The following is a 23659-nucleotide window of genomic DNA, read 5'->3' on the forward strand; positions in this document are numbered from 1 at the left end:
TCTACCTTTTCAGGTATTTGTTATAGCAGTAACTCTGCTCCTAGTACCAATTTTCTGTCTTAATCTGTTTTCTGCTGCAATAGCAGAATAGCACAAGACTGGGCAGTTACAAAGAATTGTTTTCATATCCAAGGACTTTATGGAAGGCAGAATTTAAGAGTGACAAACTAATTTACCTGGCAGAAGAAAATTCTAAGCAAAATATTGAAGAATCTGCATGGTTTCTTTAACTGCATACAGTAAAATGAGAGGAGAATAGATTTAAAGACAGAATTCACAATTAAAAATGAGGCAGAATGTAAAATATTTGGAAAATTCACAGCTGCCCCTTGAGAATCCAGAACTTTAGAGCTACCAGTGTGCAGCAGCATCCTGGGAGAGCTGCAGGCATGAAACCTCAACCCATAAGAGCTACTGCCTGGGCTGAGCCCAGCAAAGCCATGGGGGCAGGACTGCCCAAGATTTTGAGGACCTAACCCCTGCCTTAGTGTATCCACAAGGTGGCATATGAATTCAAAGATTGTTCTGAAGTTTTAAGATTTAATGTTGTTTACTACCCTGTTGGGTTTTGGACTTACGTGGGACCAGTTACCTCTTTTTTCCTATTTCTCCCTTTTGCAGTGGAAATATCTATCCCATACCTATCCAGCCATTGTATTTTGGAAGTACAAACTCCAGCTGTGAGTTTGATTTCAGACTCACAGCTGGAGGATAATTTGCTTCAGGATGAATCATGCCTAGATTCTTGCCCATATCTGATTTAGATGAGACTTTGGAATTGGACTTTTGAGTAGATGCTTGGGGCTCTTGGGATGGAGTGAATGTATTTTGTGTGGGAAAAGGACATGAATTTGAGGGGCCGGGGCAGAATGCTATGGTTTGAATGTGTCCCTCAAAATTCATGTGTTAGAAACTTGATCCCTAATGCAAAGCTGTTGGGAAGTGGGACATTTTAGAGGTGTTTAGGTCATGAGGACCAACGTGAGTGGATTAATGTCGTTATCATGGGAGTGTGTTATCTTGGCAGTGGGTTCCTTAATAAAGGACAAGTTCAGCCCCTGCTTGCTCTCTCTCACCCACGTAATGCTTTCTGCTACATTATGATGCAGCAAGAAGGCCCTTGTCAGATGCTGGTGCATTGATCTTGGATTTCCCAGCCTCCACTAACAAATTTCTGTTCCTTATAAGGAAACAAATTTTTTTTTTTTTTTTTTTTTTTTTTTAGTTTTTATTGATCATTCTTGGGTGTTTCTCGGAGAGGGGGATGTGGCAGGGTCATAGGATAATAGTGGAGAGAAGGTCAGCAGATAAACACGTGAACAAAGGTCTCTGGTTTTCCTAGGCAGAGGTCCCTGCGGCCTTCTGCAGTGTTTGTGTCCCTGGGTACTTGAGATTAGGGAGTGGTGATGACTCTTAACGAGTATGCTGCCTTCAGGCATCTGTTTAACAAAGCACATCTTGCACCGCCCTTAATCCATTTAACCCTGAGTTGACACAGCACATGTTTCAGAGAGCACGGGGTTGGGGGTAAGGTTATAGATTAACAGCATCCCAAGGCAGAAGAATTTTTCTTAGTACAGAACAAAATGGAGTCTCCTATGTCTACTTCTTTCTGCACAGACACAGTAACAATCTGATCTCTCTTTCTTTTCCCCACATTTCCCCCTTTTCTATTCGACAAAACCGCCATCATCATCATGGCCTGTTCTCGATGGTCGCTGTCTCTTCGGAGCTGTTGGGTACACCTCCCAGGTGGGGCGGCCGGGCAGAGGCGCTCCTCACTTCCCACACGGGGCGGCCAGGCAGAGGCGCTCCTCACTTCCCAGATGATGGGCGGGCGGGCAGAGACGCTCCTCACCTCCCAGACGGGGCGGCCGGGCAGAGGCGCTCCCCATTTCCCAGATGGGGCGGTGGCCGGGCAGAGGCGCTCCTCACATCCCAGACGGGGCGGCCGGGCAGAGGAGCTCCTCACCTCCCAGACAGGGTGGCGGCCAGGCAGAGGCACTCCTCACCTCCCAGACGGGGTGGCGGCCGGGCAGAGGCGCTCCTCACCTCTCAGATGGGGCGGCCAGGCAGAGGCACTCCCCACTTCCCAGACGGGGTGGTGGCCAAGCAGAGGCGCTCCCCACATCCCAGACGGGGCGGCCGGGCAGAGGTGCTCCTCACTTCCCAGACGATGGGTGGCCGGGCAGAGGCGCTCCTCAATTCCCAGACGGGGCAGCTGGGCAGAGGCGCTCTCACTTCCTCCCAGATGGGGCGGCCGGGCAGAGACACTCCCCACTTCCCAGACGGGGTGGCGGCCGGGCAGAGGCGCTCCTCACATCCCAGACAGGGTGGCCGGGCAGAGGCGCTCCTCACTTCCCATTCGGGGCAGCCAGGCAGAGACAGTCCTCACTTCCTAGATGGGGTGGCAGCTGGGCAGAGGCGCTCCTCTCTTCCCAGATGGGGCAGCCAGGCAGAGGCGCTCCTCACTTCCCATTAGGGGCAGCCGGGCAGAGGCACTCCTCACTTCCTCCCAGACGGGATGGCCGGGCAGAGGTGCTCCTCACTTCCCAGACGGGGCAGCTGGGCAGAGGCACTCCTCACATCCCAGACGATGGGTGGCCCGGCAGAGACACTCCTTACTTCCTAGACGGGGTGGCGGCCAGGCAGAGGCTGTAATCTTAGCACTTTGGGAGGCCAAGGCAGGCGGCTGGGAGGTGGAGGTTGTAGTGAGCCGAGATCACGCCACTGCACTCCAGCCTGGGCAACATTGAGCACTGAGTGAGCGAGACTCCGTCTGCAATCCCAGCACCTCGGGAGGCCGAGGCGGGCAGATCACCTGAGGCCAGGAGCTGGAGACCAGCCCGGTCAACACGGCGAAACCCCGTCTCCACCAAAAATACAAAAACCAGTCAGGAGTGGCAGCACGTGCCTGGAATCCCAGGCACTCAGCAGGCCGAGGCAGGGAGGTTGCAGCGAGCCGAGATCATGGCAGTACAGTCCAGCCTCGGCAAGAGAGGGAGACTGGGAGACCGTAGAGAGGGAGTGGGAGAGGGGGAAACAAATTTTTGTTCTTTGTAAATTATGGGGTCTGTGGTATCGTGTTATAGAAGCAGAAAGTGGACTAGTGGACTCAGACAAGCAGTTACTTTAGAAAGCTTGCAATTATGAACTTTCTCTCCCGCTTTGAGGTATAATTTTGTTGTTGTTGTTGTTGTTGTTGTTGTTTTTGAGACAGAGTCTCTCTGTGTCACCCAGGCTGGAGTGCAGTGGTGCAATCTCGGCTCACTGCAACCTCTGCCTTCTGGGTTCAAGCAATTCTCCTGCCTCAGCCTCCTGAGTAGCTGGGACTACAGGTGTGTACCACCATGCCCAGCTGATTTTTGTATTTTTAGTAGAGACGGGGTTTCACCCTGTTGGCCAGGCTGATCTCAAACTCCTGAACCCAGGTGATCCACCCACCTTGGCCTCCCAAAGTGCTGGTATTACAGGCGTGAACCACCTCACCTGGCCTGAGGGTATAAATTTTTTATCACCCAGACCTGTCTTCTCAAGGACTTGGGAGTCTCTCTTTGAAATGTTAACGTTCAAGGACATAACTCTGGCTCTTACTCCCAACCCGTGGGTGCCTGGCTCTGACTTGCATCCTGTCATAAGGTATGAGAAGTTTATTTCTCTTCTGGATAGGTACCAGTTAACAAACCCAGATGGCCCAGTAACATTAACCAACTATCCACTTTTTGTAAATTTTCATTTCCCTGACTCTGTTCAAGCCCCTGCTGTTCACCCTGCCCATTCTGTCATTCTTTCTTTAAAACAGTCATCTCTGCACAAATTGAAGTTGAGTTCAGTTCACGCTGGACCCTATTGCAATAGTTATTAATAAAATTTACCCTTGCTGTTTTAGTGCCTAGCTTTGCCTATCTTCCATCTATGCCTTTTCTCTGTATGTATATGTTTTATGTACCAATACATTTTTCATTAACAAAAGGACTCTGACTCTTCTACAGATCTCAAAGCCTAAAAGAGAACACCTAGCTTTCACCCCTCTGTGGCAGCTATAGCCTAGACTATGGAAGGGGGTAAAGACCACAGCAGTCTTGAATTGGGTAGTGATGGAAGAAAAATAACTTCAGGACTACTGACACAAACTGGAAAACTTACTGGGCTGATACCAACTCTAGACATATGTCTCTCTTGTCTGCAGTTGTTTGCTGCTGCCTGGTGGGAAGGTCCATCTTCCCTTCCTCTCACCTTGTCCTCCCTCAGGTTCTCTTAACAGTGATAATGAACAATTACAGCTCTCAGAAGGGTATCAATCTGAGGGACTTCTCATAGCAGAGCCTAATTTTATATGGACTTATAAACCCATGGAGGAGGTGGGATGAGGGAAGTCTATAATCAAGAGAACTTTATATTAAAAACTCTGAAACCGTAACTCCTGTAAGAGTTGAAAAATAATTTTCCCTTTACTCTTAGTTCTTAGCTGGGATGGACCCCTGTGATAAGAGAGATTACTAAGAAGAAAACAAACAGTAGTTTATTAATGTGTATATTCCATAGACACATGGGAGGTATCCAAGGAATGAGTAATTCTCAAAGAGGTGGCTCTGAACCTCAGCTGATAGAGCATCTTCTACAAAGAATAATACATTTTTAGAGTTGTGACAAGTCAAAGGAAAAGGTCCTTGAGTCTCTGGGGTCAGCAAATTGTGGAAAAGCAAATAAGTTGGTTAAAGGTAGTCAAAAGCTACTAAAGTTTGTCTGTAGATTCCTCTGGTGCAGTCTCCAAGCTGAAAAGGGTCTAAAGTTGTCTCTGGCGATCTACCTTTGTTCTTTCTGGTAGAGAGTGTTACCGGGGGTCCTTGCTCCCAGAACTCCCAAGATGGTCGTGGGCCACTTCCAAGATGATGGCAAGCCTCGTGTTCTCTGACCTGGGGTTCTTGGCCTCACGGATTCTAAGGAACGGAATCTTGGGCCATGCAGTGTTACAGCTCTATTAGAAGTCGTGGGTCACGGAAGACAACCATGGAACCCAGTGACTAGTGTTCAGCTCAATTAGGACAAACCCAGGCACTTAGCCGTGCAGGAACAAATGGCAAGCCTTTAGCCCGATCTGGAGCGGCAAAGGGGTGCCTCGCTGGATCAGGAGCACAGTGGACACCCTGCTGGATCCGGAAGAATGTAAGTCAGCAGCGAGTCTGCTACGGCGGCAAAACAGCAGTGGTGGACAGTGAGCGAAAGCTCAGCTCGAGCAGTAACAAACACGAACCAGAAGAGTGCAGTTTCAAGATTTAATAGTGTGAAATAGAGTGAAAACAGAGCTCCCATACGAAGGGAGGGGACCCAAAGGGGGTTGCCATTGCTGGCTCGAATGCCTGGTTTTATATCCCGATCCTTGTCCTTCCCGCTGTGCTCTCAGGCAATAGATGATCGGCTATTTCTTTACCTCCTGTTTTTGCCTAATTAGCATTTTAGTGAGTTCTCTGGTTGGGTGTGAGCCAAGTTGCAAGCCCCGTGTTTAAAGGTGGATGCGGTCACCTTCCCAGCTAGGCTTAGGGATTCTTAGTTGGCCTAGGAAATCCAGCTAGTTCTGTCTCTCACGAGGTCTTTGTAAAATTTGTGTCCTGCTTTTGGGCAAAAAGGGAGAGGCCAGAGAGCCTTTCTTGTAGCTGCTTATGCTCAATTGCCTTCAGCTGAAAATAATCCTTATGCCAAAGTCATTTTTTTGGTGACTTTTTTTTTTTTTACCTTGTATATGAACTGCTCTTCAGATCCACACTTTGTTGTTTACTGTGACTCTCTTTGTTGAAAAGTACACTTGAACTGCTTTTCAAATGTATATTACACCTTTGTTTACATGTTTGTACACCAGCTTCCTTACCCTGTGGATCCTAAGATAATATTTGGAAAGAGAATTGGGGACCGAAAGATTTACACACCCTGCGGGAACAATGTGGTGACTGGCTTGTTTCCCTTGTGTCTTTTCTCAGAAAAACCAAGTAATGAGCACACTGCTGAGATGGAACACATGAAATCTTTGGTTCACAGACTATTTACAATCTTGCATTTAGAAGAGTCTCAGAAAAAGAGAGAGCACCATTTACTGGAGAAAATTGACCACCTGAAGGAACAGCTGCAGCCCCTTGAACAGGTTAGGAAGCATCACGGTTGAGTATATTTGAAAATAATACCTAGTGTTTATTGAGTGCTCCTCATGTGAGCATTTTTCTGAATGCTTTCCATATGCTAATTTTCTCCTTTACGCCTCACAAAAAACCTGTAAGTTCAGTGCTTTTATCTTCCTCATTTTTCAGATGAGGAAACTGAGCAACAGAGCTGTATCGCTAATACATGGTAGAGCCTGGACTTGAGCTCACGTGGCCTGTGTTCAGAGCTGCCATCTTAAACTCTATGCCATGCCTCCTCTCCAGAGATCAGTCATAATGTCTCTGTAAATAAGTATAATATGAGCAGGGCAGCACTAGCTGGAGTCCTACCTCCCTTTCCTTTTTAGAGAATAGGCCCAGAGCCCCTGCTGTGCCTAACAGAATTGCAGCTGGAAAGTTGGTAATGGCTAGCATCTAAAGTTAATCAATGGTGTGGAAAAAATAACTTTGATTTGGGGGGATAGTTGGGGAAATTGGTTTGTTTCAAGGGAAAGAATTGCATTCTTTAGACTTATAATCCCATTTGTGGTTTTTATTTAAATGGGAAGGTATATGTGTATCTTTGAATATGAATGGAAAGTTTCTGGAGATGTAAGGAAGTTTTAATAGTGATTACCTCTAAGGGTATTTGGAGGATGGCAGAGAGAGGGACTTGTTTGGTTTTTTTTATCGTTTACCATTTTAGTTTTTTCTTTACTTGTAATATATTTACTTGGATTAAAATTTTAAAATCTAAAGTTTTCCTCCCACCCTGTCCTCCACACAGTTACTATATTCTCCACACTTATGAATCATTTCAGATTTCCTTTATCTGTGTACAAACAAATACATTCTTATTTTATTCTCTTTCTCAGAAAAGGAAGCACACTATTATGCACTATTCTCATCTTTTTTCAGTGTATTATAGAAATCTCTCCTTATTGGCACAGAGCTTCATTACAGTTGTGTAATATCTTGATGGGCATATGGATTCTTTTAGGACTTCAGCTATTGAGAATGAATCTGTAATGGGTTTTGTGTATGCAGGTATATATTCAGAATGAATTCCTAGAAGTAGAATTGCTGAGTCAAATAGGCCTCTAATTTTAGTTGGGTTTCAGAGGATGACTTCTGAGTTTTCAATTGTATACTTTACTATTCATTTTTCCAAGGGCAGTTATTACCTTTATAGTTTTAAAGAGTTTTATTAGTGAGCTGATTTGAAATGAGCATTTACTCATTCATGTATGTTTCATAAATTGTTTTTCCATATGTCTGACCTCTTCAAAGTAATGCAGATGTGCATTTGTTCAAGAGTTCCTCTTTTCTTTTTTTTTTTTTTTGACGCAGAGTCTTGCACTGTCGCCCAGGCTGGAGTGCAGTGGAGTGATCTTGGCTCACTGCAAGCTCCACCTCCTGGGTTCACGCCATTCTTCTGCCTCAGCCTCCTGAGTATCTGGGACTACAGGCGCCTGCCACCATGCCCGGCTAATTTTTTGTATTTTTAGTAGAGACGGGGTTTCACCATGTTAACCAGGATGGTCTCGATCTCCTGACCTCGTGATCCGCCCACCTCGGCCTCCCAGAGTGCTGAGATTACAGGCGTGAGCCACCGCGCCCGGCAAGAGTTCCTTTTCATCTTGCTTTTTGTCCCTTTAGTTGGTGTATTTGTAAACAGAATTAACAGTTTTTCATTCCCCCTCAGGTGAAAGCTGGAATAGAAGCTCATTCGGAAGCCAAAACCAGTGGACTCCTGTGGGCTGGATTGGCACTGCTGTCCATTCAGGGTGGGGCACTGGCCTGGCTCACGTGGTGGGTGTACTCCTGGGATATCATGGAGCCAGTTACATACTTCATCACATTTGCAAATTCTATGGTCTTTTTTGCATACTTTATAGTCACTCGACAGGTGAGTAGTTTGTTAGGAAAATGGTAAGTTAGAACATCTTTGCAAAGAATGTCTTATCTAAGCAATGAGCAAAAAAGCCTTTTTATTTACTGAATTACTGCCATCTGGTTTTTATGAGCTGGTAAATTTTTTATTGTTTTTCACAAGACTGAATGAAGACTCACAACACAGAGAAATTATATATAACTTCTTTGGAGAAGTAATTAGTGTAACACACAAATTCCTCCATTGGGATAAATATGTGTTCTCTGTGCCCTCATTTATAAAAAAAACTGAATTTGCATTGCAAAACATTCAGTAACATCAGCTTTGCCTCATGGTTATTTAATATGCCAAAAATCTCCCTTTTCTTATTTCTTCCTTCTTCTTTCCCATTATGTGTAATTTCTCTTCCCAGCTTGCCTGTTTTTGAAAGGAGCAGCAGATCTTAAATGAGACTAAATGTTTTGTGTTGGCTTATGCTTACTCTCATGGCCATTGCAAATATTTCACTCATTCATCTGCCTTCTTTTGCTTTGGTGTTGCTGAGTCAAGTATCTTTCTTGCAGAGGCATTATGTTCATTCAAAACATGTTGTTTTCTTCTCTCTCTCTTTTTTTTTAAGGATTATACTTACTCAGCTGTTAAGAGTAGGCAATTTCTTCAGTTCTTCCACAAGAAATCAAAGCAACAGCACTTTGATGTGCAGCAATACAACAAGTTAAAAGAAGACCTTGCTAAGGTATACTACAAATACATCTTATAGCTGGTTTGTTTGGGAGCCAGAACTTAGTATCAGGGAAGTATAACTGGTGGCTCATCCTCACAAATTAAATCTTGGTCCTAGATTTCTGTGTGTTGTGGGATTGTTCATTGAAATGGTTGACATATTTCATATTAATTTCATATCCCAGTTTTACTCTTCTGTACATGAAGATAGCTTTAAATATGTGTGTTAAAATTTCTTAAATGACTTGAGATAGTAAAATAAAAGTTTTCACTGGAAATCCATTTCTAAGCAAATAATAAAAAATAGCATTTTAGGAAGGTGAACACTGTGATAAGGAACTTAAGGCATTTATAAGTTTCTTGTCCCTAAAGATAGAAGAATCATTATAGTATTCCTCCCTTCATCTTTTTCCCTTCTGAAAGGCACTTACTCAGGTATACACTGCTAAAAAGTGAAGGAACCATGGTACGAACACAAGTTTGATTTCGGAGTCTATATTCTTAAGTACTTTTTCACAGTCTGCTTGTTAGCCAGTTATCTCTGGCCTCCCAATTTACTCATTAACTTTGTTCAGATGGTGACTTCTCAGCACATCACTGGATTTTTCATTTTTATCAGTAATTTCATAACAAAAAAGTTTGGTAAAAATATCCTCCATTGCTCAATGCATGCTTGTTTAGTAGCTGGTAATCAAACCTTTTGTTATGTGTACTTTCTAAATTACTCATCCCTAGAATTTAAAACAGAATCACTCAAATTTTGTAGTCCAAAAATTGAAGGACGTTTTAATTTAAATTTTTTTGAGACAGATTCTTGCTGTTGCCCACACTAGAGTGTAGTGGTGCAATCTCAGTTCACTGCAACCTCCGCCTCCTGGGTTCAAGTGATTCTTGTGCCTCAGCCTCCTGAGTTAGCTGTGATTATAGGCGCCCGCCACCACACCTGGTTACTTTTTGTATTTTTAGTAGAGACAGAGTTCCACTATGTTGTCCAGGCTGGTCTCAAACTCCTAACCTCAAGTGATCCACCTGCCTTGGCCTCCCAAAGTGTTAGGATTACAGGTGTGAGCCACCATGTCCAGCCAAGCCTTTTTAAAAAATGTATTTTATTTCATATAGTCATTCTATAGGAAAAATATAATGCTTTTAAAAAAAATTTGTGGATTCCCTTATATTTGAATAATCCTATCTGAGAAGGCTAAGGAATGTTCTTTCAGCTAGTTTACAAGACAGTGCATTTGAGATTTAGAAGGTAAGCCTAGTGTGATCCCAGTGATTTGGGAGGCTGAGGTGGGAGGATCTCGAGTCCAGAAATTGGAGACCAGTCTAGTCAACATAGTGAGACCTCATCTCTACAAAATTTGTTTTTAAATTAGCTGGACATGGTGGCACATGCTTGTAGCCCTAGCTACTTGGGAAGCTGAAGCAGGAAGATCCCTTGAACCCAAGAGTTCCAAAGCTGCAGTGAACTATGATCACACCACTGCACTCCAGCCTGGGCAACAGAGCAAGACCCCATCTCTAAAATAAAAAAATTTAAATATAACACCTTGTTAATTATGTTTAAGGTAATAAAGTGGAGATAAAAAGATAAAGTGGTAGGTTAAGGGTTTTTTTTTTAAGAATATTAAGTGGAAAACCATTATAAAGGGTATAAACTGTATTTTTTTTTAAGGCATAAGGATGAATTAGTAAACTTAAACTCATCTTTTAAAAAGATCCACATATAAAATTGAAATATTTATATCCCGTCACTTTGGGAAGCCAAGGTGGGCAAATCACTTGAGTCCAGGAGTTCAAGACCAGCCAGAGCAACATGGCAAAACTCCATCTCTACAAAAAATACCAAAAAATATTAGGTGGGCATGGTGGTGGGCACCTGTGGTCCTAGCTACTTGGGAGGCTGAGGCAGGAGAATGACTTGCACCAGGGAGGCAGAGGTTGCAGTGGGCTGAGATGGTAGCACTGCACTCCTGCCTGGGTGACAGAATGAAACCCCATCTCAAGAAAAATATATATATATTTCAGCCATTTGCCACTAATAGTTTAAACATTTTATTGCTGTAAGGAGACGCTAAGTTTATAGAATTCCTCTCAAGCAGTAATGTTGGTATGTTTCTCTTCTTTCTGATCACATGCTTTTTCTTTTTCCCATGACAGGCTAAAGAATCCCTGAAACAGGCGCGTCATTCTCTCTGTTTGCAAATGCAAGTAGAAGAACTCAATGAAAAGAATTAATCTTACAGTTTTAAATGTCGTCAGATTTTCCATTATGTATTGATTTTGCAACTTAGGATGTTTTTGAGTCCCATGGTTCATTTTGATTGTTTAATCTTTGTTATTAAATTCTTGTAAAACAGAAGTATTGTTTGAAGTTCTCAACTGAGATTTTTACTTTTTGGATTTTTATGACTTGCTAATGTTAGAAAGGGCTTGTATGCGTCTATCAAAGCAACGGTGGCTGCTGTTAGCTAAAAATCCTTGTCAGCTTGTCCCACGTTTATTCTCTATGTGGAGGTGAAAGGGTCTGTGCTTGGCATTCACTTCCATTCTTAGACTTAATTTGGAATCATCCTTTTAAAAAAATCAGAGACCAGGTCTTGCCAAATCAAACTCCTGGGCTCAAGCAACCCTCCTGCCTCAACCTCCCACGGAATCGTCTTGTCATTAACTTCTTTTTTTAATATGCAGTAGTTGGGAGTAAGATCTTTTTATCATTTATCAAAAAGGCATAAATGTTCCACCAACCATAAAGTATAGTTGGTACTTTTTGAACTTCAACTGAAACAGTGTATATAAACGATTGCTTTTGAACCTGCAAATCACAAGTTTCAGGTATCGAAGCCAAAACAGTTAACTTTCTTCAGCCTCTGGCAGATTATTAACAAAACAGTATTATTCAGATTCTATATCATATTAATAAGAATTGAACCTTGAAAGTAACATCTGTTATTCTATTAATGTGATTGTGTGTGAATGGGTCTGATGACTGTTGGACTGTTTGTAGGAACTTAACATGGAAGATGCTGACAGAATCAGATTTTGCAGGTGTTCAACCTATAGTGGCTAAGAATTATGTTTTCTATTTCATCCTCAGAATGCCATACAACAATTCTGGAATGCTGATTTTTTTTAAAGTAGGAATTAAAGTCATACACAAAATGTGGTAATTCATATGTAGATGAAATATTAAACATTTAAATGACCGAGTAAAAAACATCTATCAATTACACAAATGAACAAGAATGTGAGTTAGAAAAATGTAATAAAATATGAATTTCGAATATTTTATTAAGGGATGATTTAATTCCTGGATTTCAAAAACCTTTAAAAACATCAAACAATAAACTTTTATAAAAAAGTGACAAAATACAAGTTAAATCAGCTAGATTTTTGTGTAACCCTGCAGTTTATTAAAAAATAATACAAATGCTTATAAATTTTTATTTATCTAATTTCCTGAGGATTTTGTTTCTCCATATCAAACCCTTTCACCATGGCCAACATGAACTTTTTTTTTTTTTTTTTAAGGCAGTTCTCTGCTAGGCATTAAACTTTAAAACATTTGAATCATTAGACCATAATGCTTCACCCTAACGATATTTATATAAAAGGAAGAGAAAGACATTTTCTTTTTTTTGAGACGGAGTTTCACTCGTTGCCCAGGCTGGAGTGCAATGGCGCAATCTCGGCTCACCGCAGCCTCCACCTCCTGGGTTCAAGTGATTCTCCTGCCTCAGCCTTCCAAGTAGCTGGGATTGCAGGCATGCGCCGCCATGCCTAGCTAAATTTTTTTTTGCATTTTTAGTAGAGACGGGGCTTCTCCATGTTGGTCAGGCTGGTCTCGAACTCCCGACCTCAGGTGATCCGCCCACCTTGGACTCCCAAAGTGCTGGGATTACAGGTGTGAGTAACCACGCCTGGCTGAGAAAGCCATTTTCAATACAGAGTGTAAAATTAGATAGCCTCTATTAATTAATTAGATTTTGGAAAGAAATGCAGCTTTTTAGTTAGCATTGAGGCAAAACAGGGAACCTGCTTCTTTCCAATTGCACTTGGGTCTTTGCAAAAGTCCACTCGGCGCTGAGAAACTTTCCTGTTCACCAGTGTGAGGAGTTCTGTGAACTCTAAGGAGGAGCCATATTTTCCCAACATCTCACACAAATCTTGAATGTACCATGAGCCGTTCACAGTTTCCCGGTGAGAATAATATCCTAAAAAAGTGAGAAGGAAAATGTTGCTGCAGTTTTCTGGCTTTCAATTACTGTGTGTATTCTTTTTAGTTACAGAAGTATAAGTTCTTAAAAATCCTTAGAAGAGTCTTAAGATGTGTCCATGATATAAATGGCTTTTAAATTTTTTTGACTCTTTTCAAATGGGAAAAGAGATTAATTCTATATAGTTTTATATACACGGGGTTAATTCTGTATAATTTCTTCCATTTCCTAAAAAATTCCCAAGATAGACAATGATTGAGACATGAGATTACTAAAAAGAAGTCAAAATTATTTACTACAAAAGCAAAGAACCATTATCAAAATATTTTTCAGTTGGGCATGGTGGCTCATGCCTATAATCCCAGCACTTTGGGAGGCTGAGGCAGGCAGATCACTTGAGGTCAGGAGTTCGAGACCAGCCTGGCCAACATGGTGAAACCCCATCTCTACTAAAACTACAAAAATTAGCTTGGCGTGGTGGCAGGCACCTGTATTCCCAGCTACTCGGGAGGCTGAGGTAGGAGAATCACTTGAACCCAGGAGGCAGAGGTTGCAGTGAGCTGACATTGGACCACTGCACTCCCGCCTGGGCAACAGAGTGAGACTATTAAAAAAAAAAAAAAATACACACACACACACACGTCTGGGCAACAGAGTGAGACTATAAAAAAAAAAAACGCACGCACGCACGCAATGGCTCATACCTGTACTCCCAGCACTTTGGGAGGCCAAGGCTGGAGGATTGTTTGAGACCAGCCTGGGCAACATAGCAAGACCCAATCTCTACCGAAAAATTAAAAAGTTAGCCAAGCATGGTGGTGCATGCCTATAGTCCCAGCTACAGGGGGGCTGAGGTGGGAGGATTGCTTGAGCCTGAGAAATTGAGGCTGCAGTGAGCCATGATCATGCCATTGCACTTCAGCCTCAGTGACAGAGTTGAGACCTTGTCTCAAAAAAAAAAAAAATTAAAGCTTTCCATGACAATTACCACAATGGCACTACCACCCTCAGTAACTGATGGTAGGCTGCTAATACTAATATAATTAATTAGACTGTTGCTTTACTCAACATAACTCTCAGGAATTATTTTTCTGTAAGGTACTTTACACTTTCATTTATCACTCTGTGCCATGTGGTCAAAGAAATTCTAAGTCTGTGAGCTTCAGGATGGAATCACCATGTCCCAACCGAAAGATCTGACCCAAACCAATCAAAGGTGAAACTTACAGGACCTTAGCCAAGAGAGGCAATTATATGTTTGTTTTAAACACCACACACCTTCTGCAACAGAGTAACACATGAGGAAGTCAGCTCCAGCAGGCAGCGTGTAAACGGAGGCTGCATCCACCTCAGTTATGTTGGTGTCCAACTTCTCTGTCTGATTATCTACTACATCCAAAGGAATGACTGGCACATCGTGCTGGTTTCCCCGACATGCCTACAAGACAAGGAGGAAAAACCCACCTCTTTGCCTACTGTTTCCTTCCCAGTGCTTAATGTGTGCAGTGAATGTGTAAGCCAGTACCCCTTCATTACAACAGAAACCACATTCTGAGCAGTTCAGAAGCAATACATTCAGGTTTGGAGGGCACAAAAGCCAACAAAGTTGTTTCCTTACTTAGGCTTTCTTTTAGTTAATGTTTTAAGAAAAAATTGGCATCCCCAAGTATACATCAAATTATGTTGGTAGAAGGGTATACTGTAGAGGAAAAAGCTTGTGGTTTTAAAATTTCTTACAGATTAACCACACCCAGGGCACACGGTGTTACCTTCCCTTTTGAAAGCTATAGTATTGACCTAAGTGTTTCTGTTTAGGCAGGCAGTGTATTTCCAGATTGACTTTTGCTTGCCTGGCTGCTGCTATAAATTGTTAGGAGTTAAAATGACATCCAGCCTGACCTGAGGAGATACCTACTAATGCACCATCTTCCTTGTGTGCCCATTAAAAAGTGAGGTCTCAAATTTTTACCCACTAATTCTGACTCACTCAGAATTTACATTAAATTTAGACTCATAATTAACATTAAATTCTGACTCACTCAGAGGCTAACATTAAACTCTTCTCATAAGTGACTTTTACAAGCTGAATTGTGTTCCCCAAAAATTCATATGTTGAAGTCCTAGCCCCAATACCTCAACTCTGACTGTATTGGAAGACAGGGCCTTTAGAGGTGATTAAGGAAAATGAGGTCATACGGGTGAAACCAAATCCAACATGACTAGTGTCTTCATAAGAAGAAATTGGGACACAGACATGCACAGAAGAAAGACCATATGAAGGCACAGGGACAAGATGGCCACCTACAAGCCAAAAAGGGAGGCCTCAGAAGAAACCAATCCTCCCCACACGTTCATCTGAGACTTCCAGCTCCAGGACTGTGACGATAAATTCCTGCTGTTTAAACCACACAGTCTGTGGTACTTTGTTATGGTCACCCTATACACGAATACAGCCAGCCAATAAGATTCTGTTGTAGCATTATAAATGCATCAATCAGTTCTGAAATGGTTAAAGAATTATGAGCATCAAAAGAAAGTCCTGAATGATTTCAAATCATAAAATAAATAGAAAATCCCTACTATCCCGTTTTTATAGGCAGATTTTAATCTTCGTATCAGCAGGCTTATTTTCAGGCCTTTTTTCTACTGTCCTTCCTAAATATAACAGAACACCTTTAACCTAATGACATCACCTGCCCAGTCAACTGCAATAAGAGTAAGAGCGAGCCTTTACTGAGGGCGTGCTGTATGCCAGGCACTGTTCTAAGTGGTTTGCATTCATTAAATCAGTCAGGTGATTTTGCCCACACAACCACCCCATGAGGCAGGTGCTCTTTTTACCAAGAATCTAAGGCATAGAGAGAGAAAGTAACTTGGAAAACGATTTCATTTGTGGCTTTCTTCCCACAGTAGCTCATTAGTTATTTCCAATTCTCTTGTGTTTGACAGTGTTGGCCACTCCCCTTTTCACAAAACAATCATGTCATTATTTGTTTCTTGTTTCTCTCCTGGTGTCCATCCTCCTCAGTATCTTCCCTCTTCAGCCCATTCCTCATGGGTGCCCCTCGGTTTTGTTTTATGCTCCTTTTTCAGGCTGTATTCAACACGAGTAAACTCATCTAATCCCATGGCTTCCACGACCACCTCCTGATTTATTTCTCCAGCCGAGGCCACCTGTCTTAGGTTCTACACCTGTATGACCAATTCCATGTCCCACAGACATTCCAATGCAGTTGTCCAAACCAGAAACGAGGCAGTCATTCTTCACTTACAGCCACTTCCTCACCCCAAAACAAGGCTTTATGGTAGGATGCGAAATGCAGTTTCATGTTTGATACGGTTTGAACGTCTGTCCCCTCCAAATCTCATGTTAAAATGTGGTTCCCAGTGTGGGAGGTGAAGCCTGGTGGAAGGTGACTGGATCATCGGGGAGGGTCTCTCATGAATGGTTTAGCATCATCCTCTTGGTGTAAGTGAGCTCCCACTCAGTTCACATGAAATCTGGTTACTTAAGAGAGTCTGGGACCTCTCCCTTGGCACTCTCTTGCTCCCACTCCCAACAAGTCATATGCTGGCTCTCTGTCACCTTCCACCATAATTGTAAGCTTCCTAAGGCCTCACCAGAAGCAGATGCCAGCACCATGCTTCCTGTACAGCCTGCAGAACTGTAGGCCAATCAAATCTCTCTTCCTTATAAATTACCCAGTCTCAGGTCTTTATAGCAATGCAAGAATAGACTAACATAATGTTATTTCATGTCCTCCATGCTATTCATGGAAATACAGAATTGTGACACTGGCATGTCAGGTTTCTCTTTTGTAGTTCAAAATCTTTGGCCGGGCACAGTGGCTCACGCCTGTAATCCCAACACTCTGGGAGGCCAAGGCGGGCAGATCACCTGAGGTCAGGAGTTCAAGACCACACTAGCCAACATGGTGAAACCCCATCTCTATGAAAATACAAAAATTAGCCAGCCATGATGGCAGGTGCCTGTAATCCCAGCTACTCGGGAGGCTGAAGTGGGAGAATAATTGAACCTGGGGGCGGAGGTTGCAGTGAGCCGAGATTGCACCATTGCACTCCAGCCTGGGGGACAGAGCGAGACTCCATCTCAAAAAAAAAAAAAAAATCGTTAATGATGTGCCAAGTAATATTCATGCAAAAAAAAAAATTTTTTTTTTTTTTTAGACAGAGTCTCGCTCTGACGCCCAGGCTGGAGTGCAGTGGTATGCTCTCGGCTAACTACAGCCTCTGCCTCCCAGGTTCAAGCAATTCTCATGCCTCAGCTTCCCGAATGGCTGGGATTACAGGCACCTGCCACCATGCCCAGCTAATTTTTGTATTTTTAGTAGAGACAGGGTTTCACCATGTTTGCCAGGCTGGTCTTGAACTCCTCAGGTGATCTGCCTGCCTCGGCCTCCCAAAGTGCTGGGATTACAGGTGTGAGCCATCACGCCTGTAAAAAATACTTTTATCCCTAAAACCAATTTGGCAGCGGGGAAACAATCTTGGTTTAAGGGGCAATGTGAAAGGGATGAGACAGGATAAGACTAGAAGGCTTTATTTTTCCATTCTTTCCACTGGTTTATATGCTCTCCACCTCCCAAAGAAGCAAACCTAGTCTGATGAGGTTGCCTTGTGCGGCACTCTTCAATCAGCAGGTACGCTTTCCAATGGCTCTCCTTGGTATCAGGCTCGGACAGGGAGTAGCACATTGGTTACTTTGTGAGTCACTTCAAATCTCAATCCAAATGCTGTTATTTTGTAATATAGACAATGAGAGTGTCAAAGAATTATTACTAACAGCTCAAAGTGCAACTATGATTGGCCAGAATTCAAAAACGGCCTGTCCAATTACTGGAGAAAGTTACTTTCAAAACTGGCTTTTAGACCTTTATCACATGTTCAGAATGACAGACTTTATAATTAAGATGATAATGTACTCAGTCTTACCTGAATGATAAATATCTTGGGTTTTCCAACCAGGCTGTGACACTTGTCTCCTTTGAACAAGCCAGTTAATGTCTGAATTTCGATTTTAGCATCATATGCATAAATGTGATTGCCTTCGCCATGGCTCAGGAAGACACACACAAAGCAATCGGCATCTGCGTGGCTAACAGTTGACACTATAAAGGACCCAAAAGAGAATATAGAAATGAAAATATGATGCTTGTTATCTACACATAAAAATTCAGTTTATTAACACAAGAATAAAGTTACATCCACATGATTGGGGAGGAGGAAAATTTGTGGTTTTGTCTTTTTTGTTTTTTTGAGACAGAGTTTCACTCTTGGTGCCCAGGGCTGGAGTGCAGTGGCGCGATCTTGGCTCACTGCAACCTCCACCTCCCGGGTTCAAGCGATTCTCCTGCCTCAGCCTCCCAAGTAGCTGGGATTACAGATTTGAAACCATATCCAGCTAATTTTTGTATTTTTAGTAGAGACGGGGTTTTGCCATGTAGCCAGGCTAGTCTCGAACTCCTGACCTCAGGTGATCCACCTCGCCTCAGCCTCCCAAAGTGCTGGGATTACAGGCATGAGCCACCATGCCCGGCCTACTCTTTAATAAGTGTAAAATATCTGTGATGAAACAACTTAGTCTTTAATCAAACAATATACCGTACTGTATCTTATTTTTTTAAAAAAATCCAAATTTATTAAAGTTCAGAGTAATAGAGTTTGACCAAATTTCATTAGCCTTTCTAAAACACAGAATGATGTGGAAAACATAAAGGGATTACGATAGGGAATCTCACTTAAGATCCAAGTTATTTTGGCAATAAACTAAAAATTTCCTTGAATCAGCAGAGACCTTAGAGCAGAGTGGAAAGACCCAGAAACTGCTGCTCAACAGCTCCCCACGCATTGCTGCACTTTCACTATAGGAATACAGCACTTAGGGCCAGGCGCAGTGGCTCACGCCTGGAATCCCAGCATTTTGGGAGGCCGAGGCAGGTGGATCACTTGAGGCCAGTGTTCAAGACCAGCCTGGCCAACACGGTGAAACCCCATCTCTACTAAAAATACAAAAATTAGCTGGGCATGGGGGCGAGCTACCTGGGAAGCTGAGGCAGGAGAATTGCTTGAACCCAGGAGGTGGAGGCTGCAGTGAGCTGAGATCACACCACTGCACTCCAGCCTGGGGCGGACAGCGAGACTCCATCTCAAAAAAAAAAAAAAAAGATTATAGCACTTAGAGCTTCCAAAAGAGTACTCAAAGCCAGGTGCGGTGCCATGAGACTGATGTCCTCCAAAGCTTCTGAGCAAAGTAGAAAAGCTGGTAAAAGCAGCCAAAGTTAGAATGATGTGCAGTTTAAAGAAGAGCTCTGAAGAAAGTTTAAAGTAATTATGCAAATATAATGGTTGGCATGCAGCGATGATTATAATATAGGTTGTTATAATTAGAATACCTACCCCCTATTGACGCTGTGAGAATTAAAGGAGGTAATGTATGTAAACCAACACTATTTGGAAACCAGTGAGAAAATGAGGCATGAAAGGAGTCAATGAGAAAATGAGCCTGTTGACTGCCCAGCACCTGTAGTACTTGCATTTTAGGCTTTTACTGCCAATTGAAGGGGTCATTTCATTCATTTCTACAAGAGACTGTAACTAGTGGTATGCTAAATATAAACTTTAGAGGCATAATTATTTGCAAGGGTCTCTAAATGTGCTGGGTAACGGAAACACAGCAGCATACCCAAAACCTGTAACCTGTGCTAAATTAATACTTTTTTTGTCACACAAGTAATTACTTGTACCTGTCTTTACAGATAGGATAAAGGACTCGGTTTCATTAGAGGAAGATGAACTATATGATAGCAAAACTACCTACCCTCATGAATTTTGAGCAGTAGTTCTTCTGCTTTAAGATCATTAAAGCATTTCACTTCAAATCCTAGATCTGAAAACCTAGTGGTATATTAAATGAAATGTTAGCCTATAAACTTTTCAAAGTTGTCAAATACCCTTACTTTGGAAGAATCTATACACATTTTAACGACACATAAATTTGCTTTCTTTAGGAGAAAAGAAATGAAATATAACAATGGTGGTTTTCCCTTCATTCACCATGGTCGGAAAGGATTTAATCATAATGACAGCCGATTCAATTTAGAGTGTTGTTGTCTACTATGCAAATGTTAGTACAAATGCAAAAGCCTGTCAACATTTAATAGAACAGAGTAAGGAAAATAACTCAGGCAAGTTTTTTTTTTTTTTTTTTTTTTGAGACAGAGGCTCACTCTGTCGCCCAGGCTGGAGTGCAGTGGCTTGATCTTGGCTCACTGCAAGCTCCGCCTCCTGGCTTCATGCCATTCTCCTGCCTCAGCCTCCCGAGTAGCTGGGACTACAGGCTCCCACCACCACGCCCGGCTAATTTTTTGTATTTTTTAGGAGAGACAGGGTTTCACCATGTTAGCCAGGATGGTCTCAATCTCCTGACCTTATGATCCACCCGCCTCAGCCTCCCAAAGTGCCGGGATTACAGGAGTGAGCCACCATGCCCGGCCAACTCAGGCAAGTTCTTAAGGGAGGCTGCATCAAAGCAAGGCCCATGCTCCAACACTCTTGATCTGTTGTTACCTCATTAGTGTTGACAAGTTATGATAAGTAACTTTTCCCTACATCTAGAAGTCTGGAATTTTTTTAATTTTTAATTTTTTTTAACTTTTCATTTGGAAACATGGAAAAAAATTATTTTATTTTTTATTTTAGAGACAAGGTCTCACTCTGTTGCCCAGCCTGGAGTGCAGTGGCATGATCACAGCTCCGTGCAGCCTTGAACTCCTGGGATCAAGCAATCCTCCCCCTTCAGCCTCCAGAGTAGCTGGGACTACCGCCACCATGCCCAGCTAATTGATTTTTATTTTTTGTAGAGACCAGGTCTCACTCTGTTGCCCAGACTTGTCTCAAACTCCTTGCCTTAAGTGATCCTCCCACCTTGGCTTCCCAAAGTGCTGGGATTACCAGCATGAACCACCACACCTGGCCAAAAGTAATTTTATCACTTAACTGCCTCATCTTGATAGGTAGATAAAACTACTACCTGCGGGTAAGATTGTCTCTATCTGCGCAGGTGCCCCGCCTTTCTGGCAGTGTTAAGTGCCAAAAGAACCTCTCATGATTGAAGATTAAAGCAATTCCTCTCCTCCTGTGGTCCATTTTGTACTTTTCTGCCGGATCAAACATTTCTCTGTTAATGAAAAGTTGAAAAACAATCACTTCAAGTCATATTAAATAATGAGCCCCTCCAAGTTCTAGGTCAACATGTAGATAGAGATCTGAGCTTCCTCCTTGCCAGGCTGATGTTCCATGGGTGTGCTCCAGGAAAGGCCATGCTAATAAGGAAAGTCCTGAAATATCTCTCTGCCAATTGGTAAAGAGCAGCCATGTGCCATCCTGACACATCCCTAACCCTCTGCCTTGATGTCTTTCCCCTGGCCCCCAGGATCCAGCAACCAGGAATAACCACGAGGCTCAGAACCAAGTTCTAGCTCTAGGCTCATGCCATGCCAATTAATATGCATTCTGAACATCACTCCGGGTCCCTCGACAACCAGGGGCAGCACAACCTGCCTATCTACAAATGAGCTCCCCAAAGGCTAAAACTTGGCCTACTCAGTTTTACTTCCTAGCTCCCAGGACCCATTCTTGCTTTGATTTCTGTAGGCTGATCATGACCATCAAAGGAAGAGACCTTTATTAGAAAAGAGCACAGCTTTACCTTTTATAGAAGGCATCTGTTTCTGTCATGTTTTCTTCCCCACCTATTAAAAAAAGTTGATTTTTGTTAATTATTTTTTACTTATGGCAGTAAAATATAGTAGGAACTCCCATCCCCCTTCTGACTCCCAAACTCTTAAGACCCTTCTGTTTTGGTTAGTTTAAAAGCCAAAGTATGTGAAGAAAAGGAAATGAAGGGAAACTGCTTACTAATAAACAAACTATAACAGCTCTATGCTTTCTCACCCCCAACTTGACCTGCAAAATAACAATCTTATAAACAGAAATGGAGAAAATATTACACAAATGCATTCACTGCAAAATATGCCTAGAGTAACAGTTCTGTGATTACGGAGTTGAAATATGAAGTTGCTTTGTTATGCAGAAAATGTTTTTGCACATTTTCTGAAAAAGAATTAAGTCCTACAGGAAAACTGAAATATAGTTTGTGGTTAATGCTGGATTAGCAGTGGTGTAAGCCTGGAAGAGGTAGAAGTTTGGGTGGAGGAAGGGAAGGGCAAGGGCAAAGACTTGGACCTTGGATCTCCTGCATGACACATCTGCATTTCCAACCCTGTAAGGGGAGCCCTCTGCTCTCCATTCTCAACTGGACTCCCTACTCCCTGGACAGCCTTCCACTGAATTCCTCTCTACTCTCTAGAGCAGTGCTATGTCATGGAAGTGTCTGTGATGGTGGAATTGTTCCGTATTTGCACTGTCTCATAAGGTAGCCACTGGCCACATGTGTCTACTGAGCATTTAAATGCAGCTAATGCAACTGAGGAACTCGATTTTATTGTCAATTTAAATGAATTGGCCAGTGGCTTCTACACTGGACAGTGCAAAGTGTGGCATCTTCTACAATAAAGGCCCCATCCACTCATGCATCTGTTTTTACCTGATAGCTCAACAGCTTAGAGGGGAGACAGCAATGAATAAACTGAAATATTAGCAGTATAGCAAGATGCACCCTTCAGTTGAGGAAGAATGACCCTAAAGCATGGACTCTTACCCATCATCTCCTAGCCAAAAGGGTTGGTTCCCCTCTCCTTAGAGATCTCCCCATTACTAGCCCCCATCACCTGATTGATCTAACCTCACTTCTCCTCAAAAAAAATACAAGGTGGGGAATTCAGTTCAAGTCCCTTTTAGCCTATTCCTCCTGGAACTGCCCCAAGCAATGAGACCCAACTAAGACCCCACACTAAGGCATCCTCTGTCTGTACGCCCTAAGTCAGTTTTGCTCAACCTTGGGCATCAGAATTCCTGGTGTGCATGTTAAAATGCAGATTCCTGGATCCTAACTGAGGCAGAATCAGAATCTTGGAGGAAGGAGGTGACAGCTGCATTTTTCACAAAGTGATTTTTACACTAAGGTGTGAGAGCCAAAAGCAACCTCTCCAACTGGTCCTCCCCGCTGCATGGCAGATGAGAAAGCTGTTTAATCCGACCTTTGCCCTAGGTGAGCACAGTAACGAGGTACTTCCTACTCCACACACTGCTCTATGAAGACAGCACAGGGATTTCACTCTTCCCATTTTCAAAAGCTGTCGGAATCTACTGCCTTTTGATAACCTCACCTGCTTATCTTTTAACCAATTAGAGTATAAAGAAACAATAACTTCAAGAAAATTAAATCCATATGTCACAACCATCCTCCTCACATGCCAAAATTCTGCACAACTTGGAAAGCACTCATGTCTCAGTGTCCTCCTCGGTGGCAGCAGGCCAGCGGCTCACCTCCTGTGGCTTCTGCTCCATACTGACTGCTGAGCCGAAGGCGGCTCACAACCTAACTCATGGAAGCTGTGCCAAATGGCTGCTCAGCAAACTAACTCATATCCCTCAGGGTGAAAACACTGGAGATGTATTCTTGCTTGGGTCTTTAAAACTCTTGTTTCTCATATTGCCAAAGAAGTAGCTTCCCAGTTGTTAGCTGACACATTAAAATTAATAACTTAAGATGT

At 42.8% G+C, this 23659-nt stretch overlaps 2 protein-coding genes across 7 annotated transcripts in view; one reads left to right on the forward strand and one right to left on the reverse strand.

Annotated features, from left to right (window-relative positions):
* The window catches only part of MCUB (mitochondrial calcium uniporter dominant negative subunit beta), a 128474-nt gene extending 116361 nt beyond the window's left edge, over window positions 1-12113 (forward strand). For both annotated transcript variants that reach the window (XM_006714246.4, NM_017918.5), the window contains exons 5-8: window positions 5976-6136; window positions 7837-8040; window positions 8645-8761; window positions 10909-12113. In XM_006714246.4, the coding sequence (XP_006714309.1) occupies window positions 5976-6136; window positions 7837-8040; window positions 8645-8761; window positions 10909-10986 (560 nt within the window). In that variant the 3' untranslated portion in view covers window positions 10987-12113. The remainder of the gene's footprint in view (window positions 1-5975; window positions 6137-7836; window positions 8041-8644; window positions 8762-10908) is intronic.
* Window positions 1-23659, reverse strand: part of CASP6 (caspase 6) — a 45380-nt gene that overhangs the window by 12219 nt on the left and 9502 nt on the right. For 2 of the 5 annotated variants that reach the window (XM_047416244.1, NM_001226.4), the window contains exons 2-7: window positions 21694-21736; window positions 21016-21162; window positions 19804-19880; window positions 17919-18094; window positions 14244-14403; window positions 12022-12962 (exon numbers count right to left, since the gene is read on the reverse strand). In XM_047416244.1, coding sequence (XP_047272200.1) covers window positions 12724-12962; window positions 14244-14403; window positions 17919-18094; window positions 19804-19880; window positions 21016-21162; window positions 21694-21736 — 842 coding nt within the window. In that variant the 3' untranslated portion in view covers window positions 12022-12723. Of the gene's footprint in view, window positions 1-12021; window positions 12963-14243; window positions 14404-17918; window positions 18095-19803; window positions 19881-21015; window positions 21163-21693; window positions 21737-23659 lie in introns of those variants that run through there. The other 3 variants (NR_133012.2, XM_047416245.1, NM_032992.3) reach the window with 3 other exon arrangements.

Source organism: Homo sapiens, chromosome 4, assembly GCF_000001405.40.
Source record: "Homo sapiens chromosome 4, GRCh38.p14 Primary Assembly".
NCBI classification, from domain to species: Eukaryota; Metazoa; Chordata; class Mammalia; order Primates; family Hominidae; genus Homo; species Homo sapiens.